At 45.0% G+C, this 12,591-nt stretch overlaps 3 annotated features.

The window, feature by feature from the left end:
- Positions 2,870–3,773: an enhancer, noted in NCBI's record as "OCT4-NANOG-H3K27ac hESC enhancer chr16:60112162-60113065 (GRCh37/hg19 assembly coordinates)". NCBI's record gives its function as "activates a minimal SCP1, AML or CMV promoter by ChIP-STARR-seq in naive H9 embryonic stem cells {active_cell/tissue: H9 hESC(naive)}" and the evidence as "EXISTENCE:reporter gene assay evidence [ECO:0000049][PMID:30033119]".
- Positions 5,341–5,842: an enhancer, noted in NCBI's record as "H3K4me1 hESC enhancer chr16:60114633-60115134 (GRCh37/hg19 assembly coordinates)". NCBI's record gives its function as "activates a minimal SCP1, AML or CMV promoter by ChIP-STARR-seq in primed H9 embryonic stem cells {active_cell/tissue: H9 hESC(primed)}" and the evidence as "EXISTENCE:reporter gene assay evidence [ECO:0000049][PMID:30033119]".
- Positions 8,502–9,218: an enhancer, noted in NCBI's record as "OCT4-NANOG-H3K27ac hESC enhancer chr16:60117794-60118510 (GRCh37/hg19 assembly coordinates)". NCBI's record gives its function as "activates a minimal SCP1, AML or CMV promoter by ChIP-STARR-seq in naive H9 embryonic stem cells {active_cell/tissue: H9 hESC(naive)}" and the evidence as "EXISTENCE:reporter gene assay evidence [ECO:0000049][PMID:30033119]".

The following is a 12,591-nucleotide window of genomic DNA, read 5'->3' on the forward strand; positions in this document are numbered from 1 at the left end:
TAAGGGACACCAAATATCCAGCATTCAAAACAAACAACATTTTAATGCAATACGTTCTTTTCTTTTTTTAAATTATACTTTAAGTTCTAGGGTACATGTGCACAACGTGCAGGTTTGTTACATAGGTATACACGTGCCATGTTGGTTTGCTGCACCCATCAACTCATCATTTACATTAGGTATTTCTTCTAATGCTATCCCTCCCCCAGCCTCCCACCCCCAACAGGCCCCGGTGTGTGATGTTTCCCATCCTGTGTCCATGTGTTCTCATTGTTCAACTCCCACTTATGAGAGAGAACGTGTGGTGTTTGGTTTTCTGTCCTTGTGATAGTTTGCTGAGAATGATGGTTTCCAGCTTCATCCATGTCCCTGCAAAGGACATGAACTCATCATTTTTTATGGCTGCATAGCATTCCATGGTATATATGTGCCACATTTTCTTAATCCAGTCTATCATTGATGGACATTTGGGTTGGTTCCAAGTCTTTGCTATTGTAATTATTGCTGCAATAAACATACTTGTGCATGTGTCTTTATAGTAGCATCATTTATAATCCTTTGGGTATATACCCAGTCATGGGATCACTGGGTCAAATGGTATTTGTAGTTCTAGATCCTTGAGGAATCGCCACACTGTCTTCACAATGGGTGAACTAGTTTACAGTCCCACCAACAGTGTAAAAGTGTTCCTATTTCTCCACATCCTCTCCAGCACCTGTTGTTTCCTGACTTTTTAATGATCACCATTCTAACTGGTGTGAGATGGTATCTCCTTGTGGTTTTGATTTGCATTTCTCTGATGACCAGTGATGATGAGCATTTTTTCATATGTCTGTTGGCTGCATAAATGTCTGCTTTTGAGAAGTGTCTGTTCATATCCTTTGCCCACTTTTTGATGTATGTTTTTTTCTTATAAGTTTAAGTTCTTTGTAGATTCTGAATATTAGCCCTTTGTCAGATGGGTAGATTGCAAAAATTTTCTCCCATTCTGTAGGTTGCCTGTTCACTCTGATAATAGTTTCTTTTGCTGTGCAGAAGCTCTTTAGTTTAATTAGATCCCATTTGTCAATTTTGGCTTTTGTTGCCATTGCTTTTGGTATTTTAGTCATGAAGTCTTTGCCCGTGCCTATGTCCTGAATGGTAATGCCTAGGTTTTCTTCTAGGGGTTTTATGGTGTTAGGTCTTATATTTAAGTCTTTAATCTATCTTGAGTTAATTTTTATATATGGTTTAAGGAAGGGACCCAGTTTCAGCTTTCTACATATGGCTAGCCAGTTTTCCCAGCACCAATGTCCATCAATGATAGACTGGATTAAGAAAATGTGGTACATATACACCATTTATTAAATAGGGAATCCTTTCCCCATTTCTTGTTTTTGTCAGGTTTGTCTAATGGATCAAAGTCTATGATTAACACAGTATCAAAATTGGTTTGTTTGTTTGTTTCAGACAGGGTTTCACTCTGTCACCCAGGCTGGAGTGCAATGGCACAATGTCGGCTGACTGCAACCTCTGCTTCCCAAGCGCTAGTGATCCTCCCACCTCAGCCTGTCAGGTATCTAGAAGTAGAGGTGTGCACCACCATGCCTGGCTTATTTTTTTAATTTTTTGTAGGGATGGCATCTCACTAGGTTACCCAGGCTGGTCTTAATCTCCTGCGCTCAAGCAATCCTCATACCTCAGGGTCCCAAAGTGCTGGGATTACAGGTGTGAGCCACTGTGCCCAGCTATCAAAAATTTTAAGACAGGATCAGTATTATTGAATTTTCCTTTTGCTTCAGGAAATGTCTACACCAAATTTTGTGGATAACTTTGTAGCTCAACGTATTTTCACCAAAAAAACACAGTCCTTGAAATGAGCATTCAGATAAAGAAACAGAGTATAACCAATATGTCCAGAATCTCTTATGTGTTTTTTCAGTCACTCCTACTCTTTCCTCAAGAGTTACCAAAATCTTGCCTTTTAACATTATCAGTTTCACCTATTTTTGAAATTTAAATAATTAAAATCATATAGAATGTTCTGTTTTGTCTGGCTTCTTTTGTTCAATATTATGTTTCTGAGATTCAGCCATATTTGTGTGCATTTATAGAAGGCATAGTCTCCTTGCTGTATAATGTTCCATTGTGTGCATATATCAGACTTTATTCACTTTATGACTAATGGACATTTGAGTAGCAAAAAAACAAAAACCAAACAAAATCAAAACGATGTTTATGAGCATTGTTTTCCTTTGTCTCCTTTTTTCTAACAGCACCTCAGTTGTCATTTGGGAATCTTCCACTCCTACATTCTATATTGTGCTAGTGAGACTCCTATAATAATTCCCTTCCTCCATCTCCCAACTATGGTGAGTTCAAGACCTAAACTAAAACAATTCCTACAATTAATTCTTAACATAATGACACACAGCAGATGTCCCAATGCTATAAAGAGATTGTGCATTAGTACTTGTTACAGATATATTTCAACGTGTGATTAGTTTTCTCTTCCCAGGTATTTAGGTGTTGTATTAGTCCATTTTCACACTGTTATAAACAACTACCTGAGACTGGGTAATTTACAAATAAAAAAGGTTTGATTGACTCACAGTTCCACAGGCTTAACAGGAAGCATGGTTGGAAGGCCTCAGGAAACTTAGTCATGGCAGAAAAGGAAGAGGAAGCAAGCACTTCTTTACCATGATGGAGTAGGAGAGAGTGAGTTCACTAAGGAGGAAGTGCCGCACACTTTGAAACAACCAGATCTTATGAGAACTCACTCACTATCAAGAGACCAACAATGGGGAAGTTCACCCCCATGATTCAATGATTTCTCACAAGCCCCCTCCCCTGACACGTGGGGATTATAATTTGAGATGAGATTTGAGTGGGGACACAGAGCCAAACCATTTCAAGTGTTCAGCTTTACATTTGATTCTGTGAGTTACCTAGTGACCTTTCAATCAATTGCTTGAAAAGATTAAGCTAGCCAAATTATGTTTTTGTTTCTTGCATCAAAAAGAACCTTGACAAAGAGAGAGAAGTTAAAGCAATTCACATGGGAGGAAAGAGACAGTAACCTGAATAATCATACAAAGTAGAAAATGTAAACCTGTGTTACTTTGTATATTAGTTCATTTCCACTCTGCTGATAAAGACATACCTGTCAGGCCTCTGAGCCCAAGCCAAGCCATCGCATCCCCTATGACTTGCACCTATACGCCCAGATGGCCTGAAGTAACTGAAGAATCACAAAAGAAGTGAATATGCCCTGCCCCACCTTAACTGATGACATTCCACCACAAAAGAAGTGTAAATGGCCAGTCCTTGCCTTAAGTGATGACATTACCTTGTGAAAGTCCTTTTCCTAGCTCATCCTGGCTCAAAAAACACCCCCACTGAGCACCTTGCGACCCCCACTCCTGCCCGCCAGAGAACAAACCCCCTTTGACTGTAATTTTCCTTTACCTACCCAAATCCTATAAAACGGCCCCACCCCTATCTCCCTTCACTGACTCTCTTTTCAGACTCAGCCCTCCTGCACCCAGGTGAAATAAACAGCCATGTTGCTCACACAAAGCCTGTTTGGTGGTCTCTTCACACGGACGCGCATGAAATTTGGTGCCTTGACTCAGATCGGGGGACCTCCCTTGGGAGATCAATCCCCCGCCCTCCCGCTCTTTGCTCCGTGAGAAAGATCCACCTATGACCTCAGGTCCTCAGACCAACCAGCCCAAGAAACATCTCACCAATTTCAAATCCAGTAAGCGGCCTCTTTTTACTCTCTTCTCCAACCTCCCTCACTATCCCTCAACCTCTTTCTCCTTTCAATCTTGGCGCCACACTTCAATCTCTCCCTTCTCTAAATTTCAATTCCTTTCATTTTCTGTTAGAGACAAAGGAGACACATTTTATCCGTGGACCCAAAACTCTGGCTCCGGTCACGGACTGGGAAGGCAGCCTTCCCTTGGTGTTTAATCAATGCAGGGACGCCTCTCTGATTATACACCCACGTTTCAAGGGTTTCAGACCACGCAGGGACGCCTGCCTTGGTCCTTCACCCTTAGCAGCAAGTCCTGCTTTTCTGGGGAAGGGGCAAGTACCCCAACCCCATCTCTCTTTGTCTCTACCCCTTCTCTGCTTTTTCGGGGACAGGGCAAGTACCCCAAGCCCTTCTCTCCTTGTCTCTACCCCTTCTCTGCTTTTCCAGGGACAGAGCAAGTACCCCAAGCCCTTCTCTCCTTGTCTCTACCCCTTCTCTGCTTTTCCGGGGACAGGGCAAGTACCCCAACCCCTTCTCTACTTGTCTCTACCCCTTCTCTGCTTTTCTGGGAGAGGGGCAAGTACCCCTCAACCCCTTCTCCTTCACTCTTAGCAGCAAGTCCCACTTTTCTAGAGGGGCAAGTACCCCAACCTCATATCTCTGCACCCCAATCCCTTATTTCCGCACCCCAACCTCTTATATCTCTGCACCCCAATCCCTTAATTCCACGCCCCAACGTCATATCTCTGCGCCCCAATCCCTTATTTCTGAGCCCCGACCTCTTATTTCTGAGCCCCGACCTCTTATTTCTGCACCCCATCCCTTATTTCCATGCCCCGACCTCTTATCTCTGTGCCCCAACCCCTTTTCCCACTTTTCTGGAAGGTAAGAACCCCCGAACCACTTCCCTCCATTTCTCTACTCTCTCTTTTCTCTAGGCTTGCTTCCTTCACTATGGGAACCTTCCACCCTCCATTCCTCCTTCTACTCCCTTGGCCTGTGTTCTCAAAAACTTAAAACCTCTTCAACTCACACCTGACTTAAAACCTAAATGCCTTATTTTCTTCTGCAATGCCGCTTGACCCCAATACAAACTCGACAGCAGTTCCAAATAGCCAGAAAATGGCACTTTGAATTTTTCCATCCTGCAAGATCTAAATAATTCTTGTTGTAAAATAGGCAAACGGTCTTAGGTGCCTGACGTCCAGGCATTCTTTTACACATCAATCCCTTCCTAGTCTCTGTGCCCAGTGCAACTCGTCCCAAATCTTCCTCCTTTCCCTCCCGCCTGTCCCCTCAGTACCAACCCCAAGTGTCCCTGAGTCTTTCTAATCTTCCTTTTCTACAGACCCATCTGACCTCTCCCTTCCTCCCCAGGCTGCTCCTCCCCAGGCCGAGCTAGGTCCCAATTCTTCCTCAGCCTCTGCTCCTCCACCCTACAATCCTTTTATCACCTCCCCTCCTCACACCTGGTCAGGCTTACAGTTTCATTCCATGACTAGCCCTCCCCCTCCTGCCCAGCAATTTCCTCTTAAAAAGGTGGCTGGAGCTAAAGGCATAGTCAAGGTTAATGCTCCTTTTTCTTTATCCCAAATCAGAAGCGTTTAGGTTATTTTTCATCAAATATAAAAATCCAGCCCAGTTCATGACTTGTTTGGCAGCAACCCTGAGACACTTTACAGCCCTAGACCCTAAAAGGTCAAAAGGCCGTCTTATTCTCAGAATACATTTTATTACCCAATCTGCTCCCGACATTAAATAAAACTCCAAAAATTAAATTCCGGCCCTCAAACCCCACAACAGGATTTAATTAACCTCACCTTCAAGGTGTACAATAACAGAAAAAAGTTGCAATTCCTTGCCTCCACTGTGAGACAAACCCCAGCCACATCTCCAGCACACAAGAACTTCCAAACTCCTGAACCGCAGTGGCCAGGCATTCCTCCAGAACCTCCTCCCCTAGGAGCTTGCTACACGTGCCGGAAATCTGGCCACTGGGCCAAGGAATGCCCGCAGCCTGGGATTCCTCCTAAGCCGCGTCCCATCTGTGTGTGACCCCACTGAAAATTGGACTGTTCAACTCACCTGGCAGCCACTCCCAGAGCCCCTGGAACTCTGGCCCAAGGCTCTCTGACTCCTTCCCAGGTCTTCTCGGCTTAGCGGCTGAAGACTGACACTGCCCGATTGCCTTGGAAGCCCCCAGACCATCATAGACGCCGAGCTTCGGGTAACTCTCACAGTGGAAGGTAAGCCCGTCCCCTTCTTAATCAATACGGAGGCTACCCACTCCACATTACCTTCTTTTCAAGGGCCTGTTTCCCTTGCCTCCATAACTGTTGTGGGTATTGATGGCCAGGCTTCTAAACCTCTTAAAACTCCCCAACTCTGGTGCTAACTTAGACAATACTCTTTTAAGCACTCCTTTTTAGTTATCCCCACCTGCCCAGTTCCCTTATTAGGCTGAGACACTTTAACTAAATTATCTGCTTCCCTGACTATTCCTGGACTACACCTGTGTCTCATTGCCGCCCTTCTTCCCAATCCAAAGCCTCCTTTGCGTCCTCCTCTTGTATCCCCCCACCTTAACCCACAAGTATAAGATACCTCTACTCCCTCCTTGGCGACCGATCATGCACCCCTTACAATCTCATTAAAACCTAATCACCCTTACCCCACTCAATGCCAATATCCCATCCCGCAGCATGCTTTAAAAAGATTAAAGCCTGTTATCACTCGCCTGCTACAGCATGGCCTTTTAAAACCTATAAACTCTCCTTACAATTCCCCCATTTTACCTGTCCTAAAACCAGACAAGCCTTACAATTTAGTTCAGGATCTGCGCCTTATCAACCAAATTGTTTTGCCTATCCACCGCATGGTGCCAAACCCACATACTCTCCTATCCTCAATACCTGCCTCTACTACCCATTATTCTGTTCTGGATCTCAAACATGCTTTCTTTACTATTCCTTTGCACCCTTAATCCCAGCCTCTCTTCGCTTTCACTTGGACTGACCCTGACACCCATCAAGCTCAGCAAATTACCTAGGCTGTACTGCCACAAAGCTTCACAGACAGCCCCCATTACTTCAATCAAGCCCAAATTTCTTCCTCATCTGTTACCTATCTTGGCATAATTCTCATAAAAACACACGTGCTCTCCCTGCCAATCGTGTCTGACTGATCTCTCAAACCCAAGCACCTTCTACAAAACAACAACTCCTTTCCTTCCTAAACATGGTTAGTGTGGTCAGAACTCTTACACAAGAGCCAGCACCACACCCTGTAGCCTTTCTGTCCAAACAACTTGACCTTACTGTTTTAGCCTAGCCCTCATGTCTGCGTGCAGCGGCTGCCACTGCTTTAATACTTTTAGAGGCCCTCAAAATCACAAACTGTGCTCAACTCACTCTCTACAGTTCTCATAACTTCCAAAATCTATTTTCTTCCTCACACCTGATGCATATACTTTCTGCTCCCCGGCTCCTTCAGCTGTACTCACTCTTTAAGTCCCACAATTACCATTGTTCCTGACCGGGACTTCAATCCAGCCTCCCACATTATTCCTGATACCACACCTGACCCCCATGACTGTATCTCTCTGATCCACCTGACATTCACCCCATTTCCCCAAATTTCCTTCTTTCCTGTTCCTCAACCTCATCACGCTTGATTTATTGATGGCAGTTCCACCAGGCCTAATCGCCACTCACCAGCAAAGGCAGGTTATGCTATAGTACAAGCCACTAGCCCGCCTCTTAGAACCTCTCATTTCCTTTCCATCGTGGAAATCTATCCTCAAGGAAATAACTTCTCGGTGTTCCATTCTGCTATTCTACTACTCCTCAGGGATTATTCAGGCCCCTCCCTTCCCTACACATCAAGCTCGAGGATTTGCCCCACCCAGGACTGGCAAATTAGCTTTACTCAACATGCCCTGAGTCAGATAACTAAAATACCTCTTAGTCTAGGTAGACACTTTCACTGGATAGGTACAGGCCTTTCCTACAGGGTCTGAGAAGGCCACCGCAGTCATTTCTTCCGTTCTGTTAGACATAATTCCTCAGTTTAGCCTTCCCACCTCAATACAGTCTGATAACAGATGAGCCTTTATTAGTCAAATCAGCCAAGCAGTTTTTCAGGCTCTTAGTATTCAGTGAAACCTTTATATCCCTTATGGTCCTCCATCTTCAAGAAAAGTAGAGTGGACTAAAGGTCTTTTAAAAACACACCTTACCAAGCTCAGCCGCCAACTTAAAAAGGACTGGACAATACTTTTACCACTTTCCCTTCTCAGAATTCAGGCCTGTCCTCGGAATGCTACAGGGTACAGCCCATTTAAGCTCCTGTATAGACGCTCCTTTTTATTAGGTCCCAGTCTCATTCCAGACACCAGACCAACTTAGACTGTGCCCCAAAAAAACTTGTCTTCCCTACTATCTTCTGTCTAGTCATACTCCTATTCACCGTTCTCAACTACTCATACATGCCCTGCTCTTGTTTACACTGCCGGTTTACACTGTTTTTCCAAGCCATCACAGCTGATATCTCCTGGTGCTATCCCCAAACTGCCACTGTTAACTCTTGAAGTAAATAAATAATCTTTGCTGGCAGGACTATGCTGAATCTCCTTAGGCACTCTCTAATCAGATATCCTGAGTCATCCCAATTCTTAGACCTTTTATACCTGTTTTTCTCCTTCTGTTATTCCATTTAGTTTCTCAATTCATCCAAAACCGTATCCAGGCCATCACCAATCATTCTATACGACAAATGTTTCTTCTAACATCCCCACAACATCGCCCCTTACCACAAGATCTCCCTTCAGCTTAATCTCTCCCACTCTAGGTTCCCACGCCACCCCAATCCCGCTTGAAGCAGCCCTGAGAAACATCGCCCATTCTCTCTCCATATCACCCCCCAAAAATTTTCGCTGACCCAACACTTCAACACTATTTTGTTTTATTTTTCTTATTAATATAAGAAGGCAGGAATGTCAGGCCTCTGAGCCCAAGCCAAGCCATCGCATCCCCTGTGACTTGCACCTATACGCCCAGATGGCCTGAAGTAACTGAAGAATCACAAAAGAAGTGAATATGCCCTGCCCCACCTTAACTGATGACATTCCACCACAAAAGAAGTGTAAATGGCCAGTCCTTGCCTTAAGTGATGACGTTACCTTGTGAAAGTCCTTTTCCTGGCTCATCCTGGCTCAAAAAACACCCCCACTGAGCACCTTGTGACCCCCACTCCTGCCCGCTAGAGAACAAACCCCCTTTGACTGTAATTTTCCTTTACCTACCCAAATCCTATAAAACGGCCCCACCCCTATCTCCCTTCGCTGACTCTCTTTTCGGACTCAGCCCGCCTGCACCCAGGTGAAATAAACAGCCATGTTGCTCACACAAAGCCTGTTTGGTGGTCTTTTCACACGGACGCGCATGAAATTACCTGAGACTGAGACTAAGCAATTTACAAAAGAAAGACGTTTAATTGGACTTACAGTTCCATGTGGCTGAGGAGGCCTCACAATCATGGTGGAAGGCAAGGAAGAGCAAGTCACATCCTATGCAAATGGCGGCAGGCAAAGAGAGAGCTTGTGCAGGGGAACTCCTCTTTATAAAACCATCAGATCTCGTGAGACTTATTCACTATAGTGAGGACAGCAGAGAAAAGACATGCACGCCCCCATGATTCAATTACCTCCCATTGGGTCCCTCCCACAACACAAGAGGGGAATTCAAGAATGAGATTAGGGTGGAGACACAGCCAAACCATAACATTCTTCTCCTGGACCCTCCCAAATCTCATGGCCTCACATTTCAAAACCAATCTTGCCTTCCCAACAGTCCCCCAAAAGCCTTAACTTATTTCAGCATTAACTCAAAAGTATACAGTCCAAAGTCTCATCTGAGAGAAGGCAAGTCCCTTCTGCCTATGAGCCTGTAAAATCAAAAGCAAGTTAGTTACTTCCTAGACACTACAGGCATTGGGTAAATATAGTCATTCCAAACAGGAGAAATTGGCCAAAACAAAGGGGCTATAGGCCTTATGCAAGTCCGAAATCCAGTGAGGCAGTCAATCTTAAAGCTCCAAAATGATCTCCTTTGACTCCACCTCTCATATTCAGTTCAAGCTGATGCAAGAGGTGGGTTCCCACAGTCTTGGGCAGCTCCACCCCTGTGGCTTTGCAGGGTACAGCCTCCCTCCCGGCTGCCTTCGTGGGCTCATGTTGAGTGTCTCAGGCTTTTCCAGGAGCACGGTGCAAGCTGTCAGTGGATCTACCGTTCTGGGATCTGGAGGACAGTGGTTTTCATGTGCGTCCGTGTGAAGAGACCACCAAACAGGCTTTGTGTGAGCAACATGGCTGTTTATTTCACCTGGGTGCAGGTGGGCTGAGTCCGAAAAGAGAGTCAGCAAAGGGAGATAGGGGTGGGGCTGTTTTACAGGATTTGGGAAGGTAATGGAAAATTACAGTCAAAGGGGGTTTGTTCTCTGGTGGGCAGGGGCAGGGATCACAAGGTGCTCAGTGGGGGAGCTTCTGAGCCAGGAGAAGGAAATTCACAGGGTTAATCACTCAGTTAAGGTGGGGCAGGAACAAATCACAATGGCGGAATGTCATCAGTTAAGGCGGGGCAGGGCCTTTTCACTTCTTTTGTGATTCTTCAGTTACTTCAGGCCATCTGGGCGTATACATGCAAGTCACAGGGGATGCGATGGCTTGGCTTGGGCTCAGAGGCCTGACAGTGGTCTTCTCACAGCTTCGCTAGGTGGTGCCCCAGTAGGGACTCTGTGTGGGAGCACCACCCCACATTTCTCTCCTGCACTGCCCTAGCAGGGGTTCTCCATGAGGACCCTGTCCCTAGAGCAAATTTCCTGCCTGAGCATCTAGGCATTTCCATACATCTCCTGAAATTTAGGTGGAGGTTCCCAAATCTCAGTTCTTGACTTCTGTGCACTCTGAGGCTCAACACCATGTGGAAGCTACCAATGCTTGGGGCTTCCATCCTCTGAAGCCATGTCCTGAGCTGTACCTCAGCCCCTTTTAGTCAAGGCTGGAGAGGCTGGGATGCAGAACACCAAGTCCCAGCACAGGGACCTTGGACTGGGCCCACGAAACCATTTTTCTTCCTAGGCCTCTGGGCGTGTGATGGGAGGGTCTGCTGTGAAGACCTCTGACCTGCCGTGAAGACATTTTCCCCATTGTCTTGGGGATTAACATTGGGCTCCTCGTTACTTATGCAAGTTTCTGCAGCCAGCTTGAATTTCTCCTCAGAAAATGGGATTTTCTTTTCTATTGTATTGTGAGGCTGCAAATTTTCCAAACTTCTGTGCTCTGTGTTCCTTTTAAAACTGAATGCCGTCGGGGCGCGGTGGCTTATGGTGGCTCACGCCTGTAATCCCAGCACTTTGGGAGGCCGAGGCGGGCAGATCACGAGGTCAGGAGATCGAGATCATCCTGGCTAACACGGGGAAACCTCGTCTCTACTAAAAATACAAAAAAAATTAACCAGGCATGGTGGTGGGCGCCTGTAGTCCCAGCTACTTGGGAGGCAGAGGCAGGAGAATGGCATAAAACCGGGAGGTGGAGCTTGCAGTGAGCCGAGATTGTGCCACTGCACTCCAGCCTGGGCAACAGAGTGAGACTCCGTCTCAAATAAATACATAAATAAATAAATAAATAAATAAATATGCCTTTAACAGCACCCAAGTCACCTCTTGAATGCTTTGCTGCTTAGAAATTTCTTCTGCCAGATACCCTAAATCATCTCTCTCAAGTTCAAAGTTCCACAAATCTCTAGGGCAGGGGCAAAATGCCTCAAGTCTCTTTGCTAAAACATAACAAGAGTCACCTTTGCTCCAGTTCCCAATAAGTTCCTCATCTCTCTCTCAGACCACCTTAGCCTGAAATTCTTTGTCCATATCATTTTCAGCATTTTGGTCAAAACCATTCAACAAGTCTCTAGGGAGTTCCAAACTTTCCCAAATTTTCCTATCTTCCTCTGAGCCCTCCAAACTGTTCCAACCTCTGCCTGTTACCCAGTTCCAAAATCACTTTCAGATTTTTGGGTATCTTTTCAGCAGTGCCCCACTCCACTGGTATCAATTTACTGTATTAGTTTGTTTTTATGCTGCTGATAAAGACATACTCGAGACTGGGCAATTTACAAAAGAAAAAGTTTTAATTGGACTCACAGTTCCACATGCTTGGGGAGGCCTCACAATCACAGTGGAAGGCAAGGAGGAGCAAGTCACATCCTACATGGATGTCAGCAGGCAAAGAGAGAGAGCTTGTGCTGGCAAACTCCTGTTTATAAAACCATCAAATCTGGTGAGGCTTACTAACTATCATGATAACAGCATGGAAAAAAACTTGCCCTGGGTCACTCCCACAGCAGGTGGGAGTTCAAAATGAGATTAGGGTGAGGACATGGCCAAACCACATCACCTTGTATATAGAAAGATTTTAAAATTCCCTTAGAATGTGCCACACTATGAATTAAAAGTATTTTAAAAATCCAACAAACATTTATGATTTAAATAGAATTTTAATCATCATGGCTGACATCTTGTCTTTGGAGGCTTTGGAAAATGATGACCATGACTTTTTCAAAAGTCTACCCAGATGTTTTATAATATATATTTCAGCCTTACACAAATAATGCAATATGTAGTGTCCTGCCACTGGCCTCTCCTTAGGGACTACAGTATCTGGTAATAGAGCTAGGCTTTAGTGTGGTTTTCCCAGAAACCTGTCTAAAACATGATTGGGCATGACTTTAGGGGAGCACAAAGCATGAAATGTTTGTTGGTAGCAGCATGGAAAACAATCTATGTCATATTTA

Source organism: Homo sapiens, chromosome 16 (genome assembly GCF_000001405.40).
Source record: "Homo sapiens chromosome 16, GRCh38.p14 Primary Assembly".
Lineage (NCBI taxonomy): Eukaryota > Metazoa > Chordata > Mammalia > Primates > Hominidae > Homo > Homo sapiens.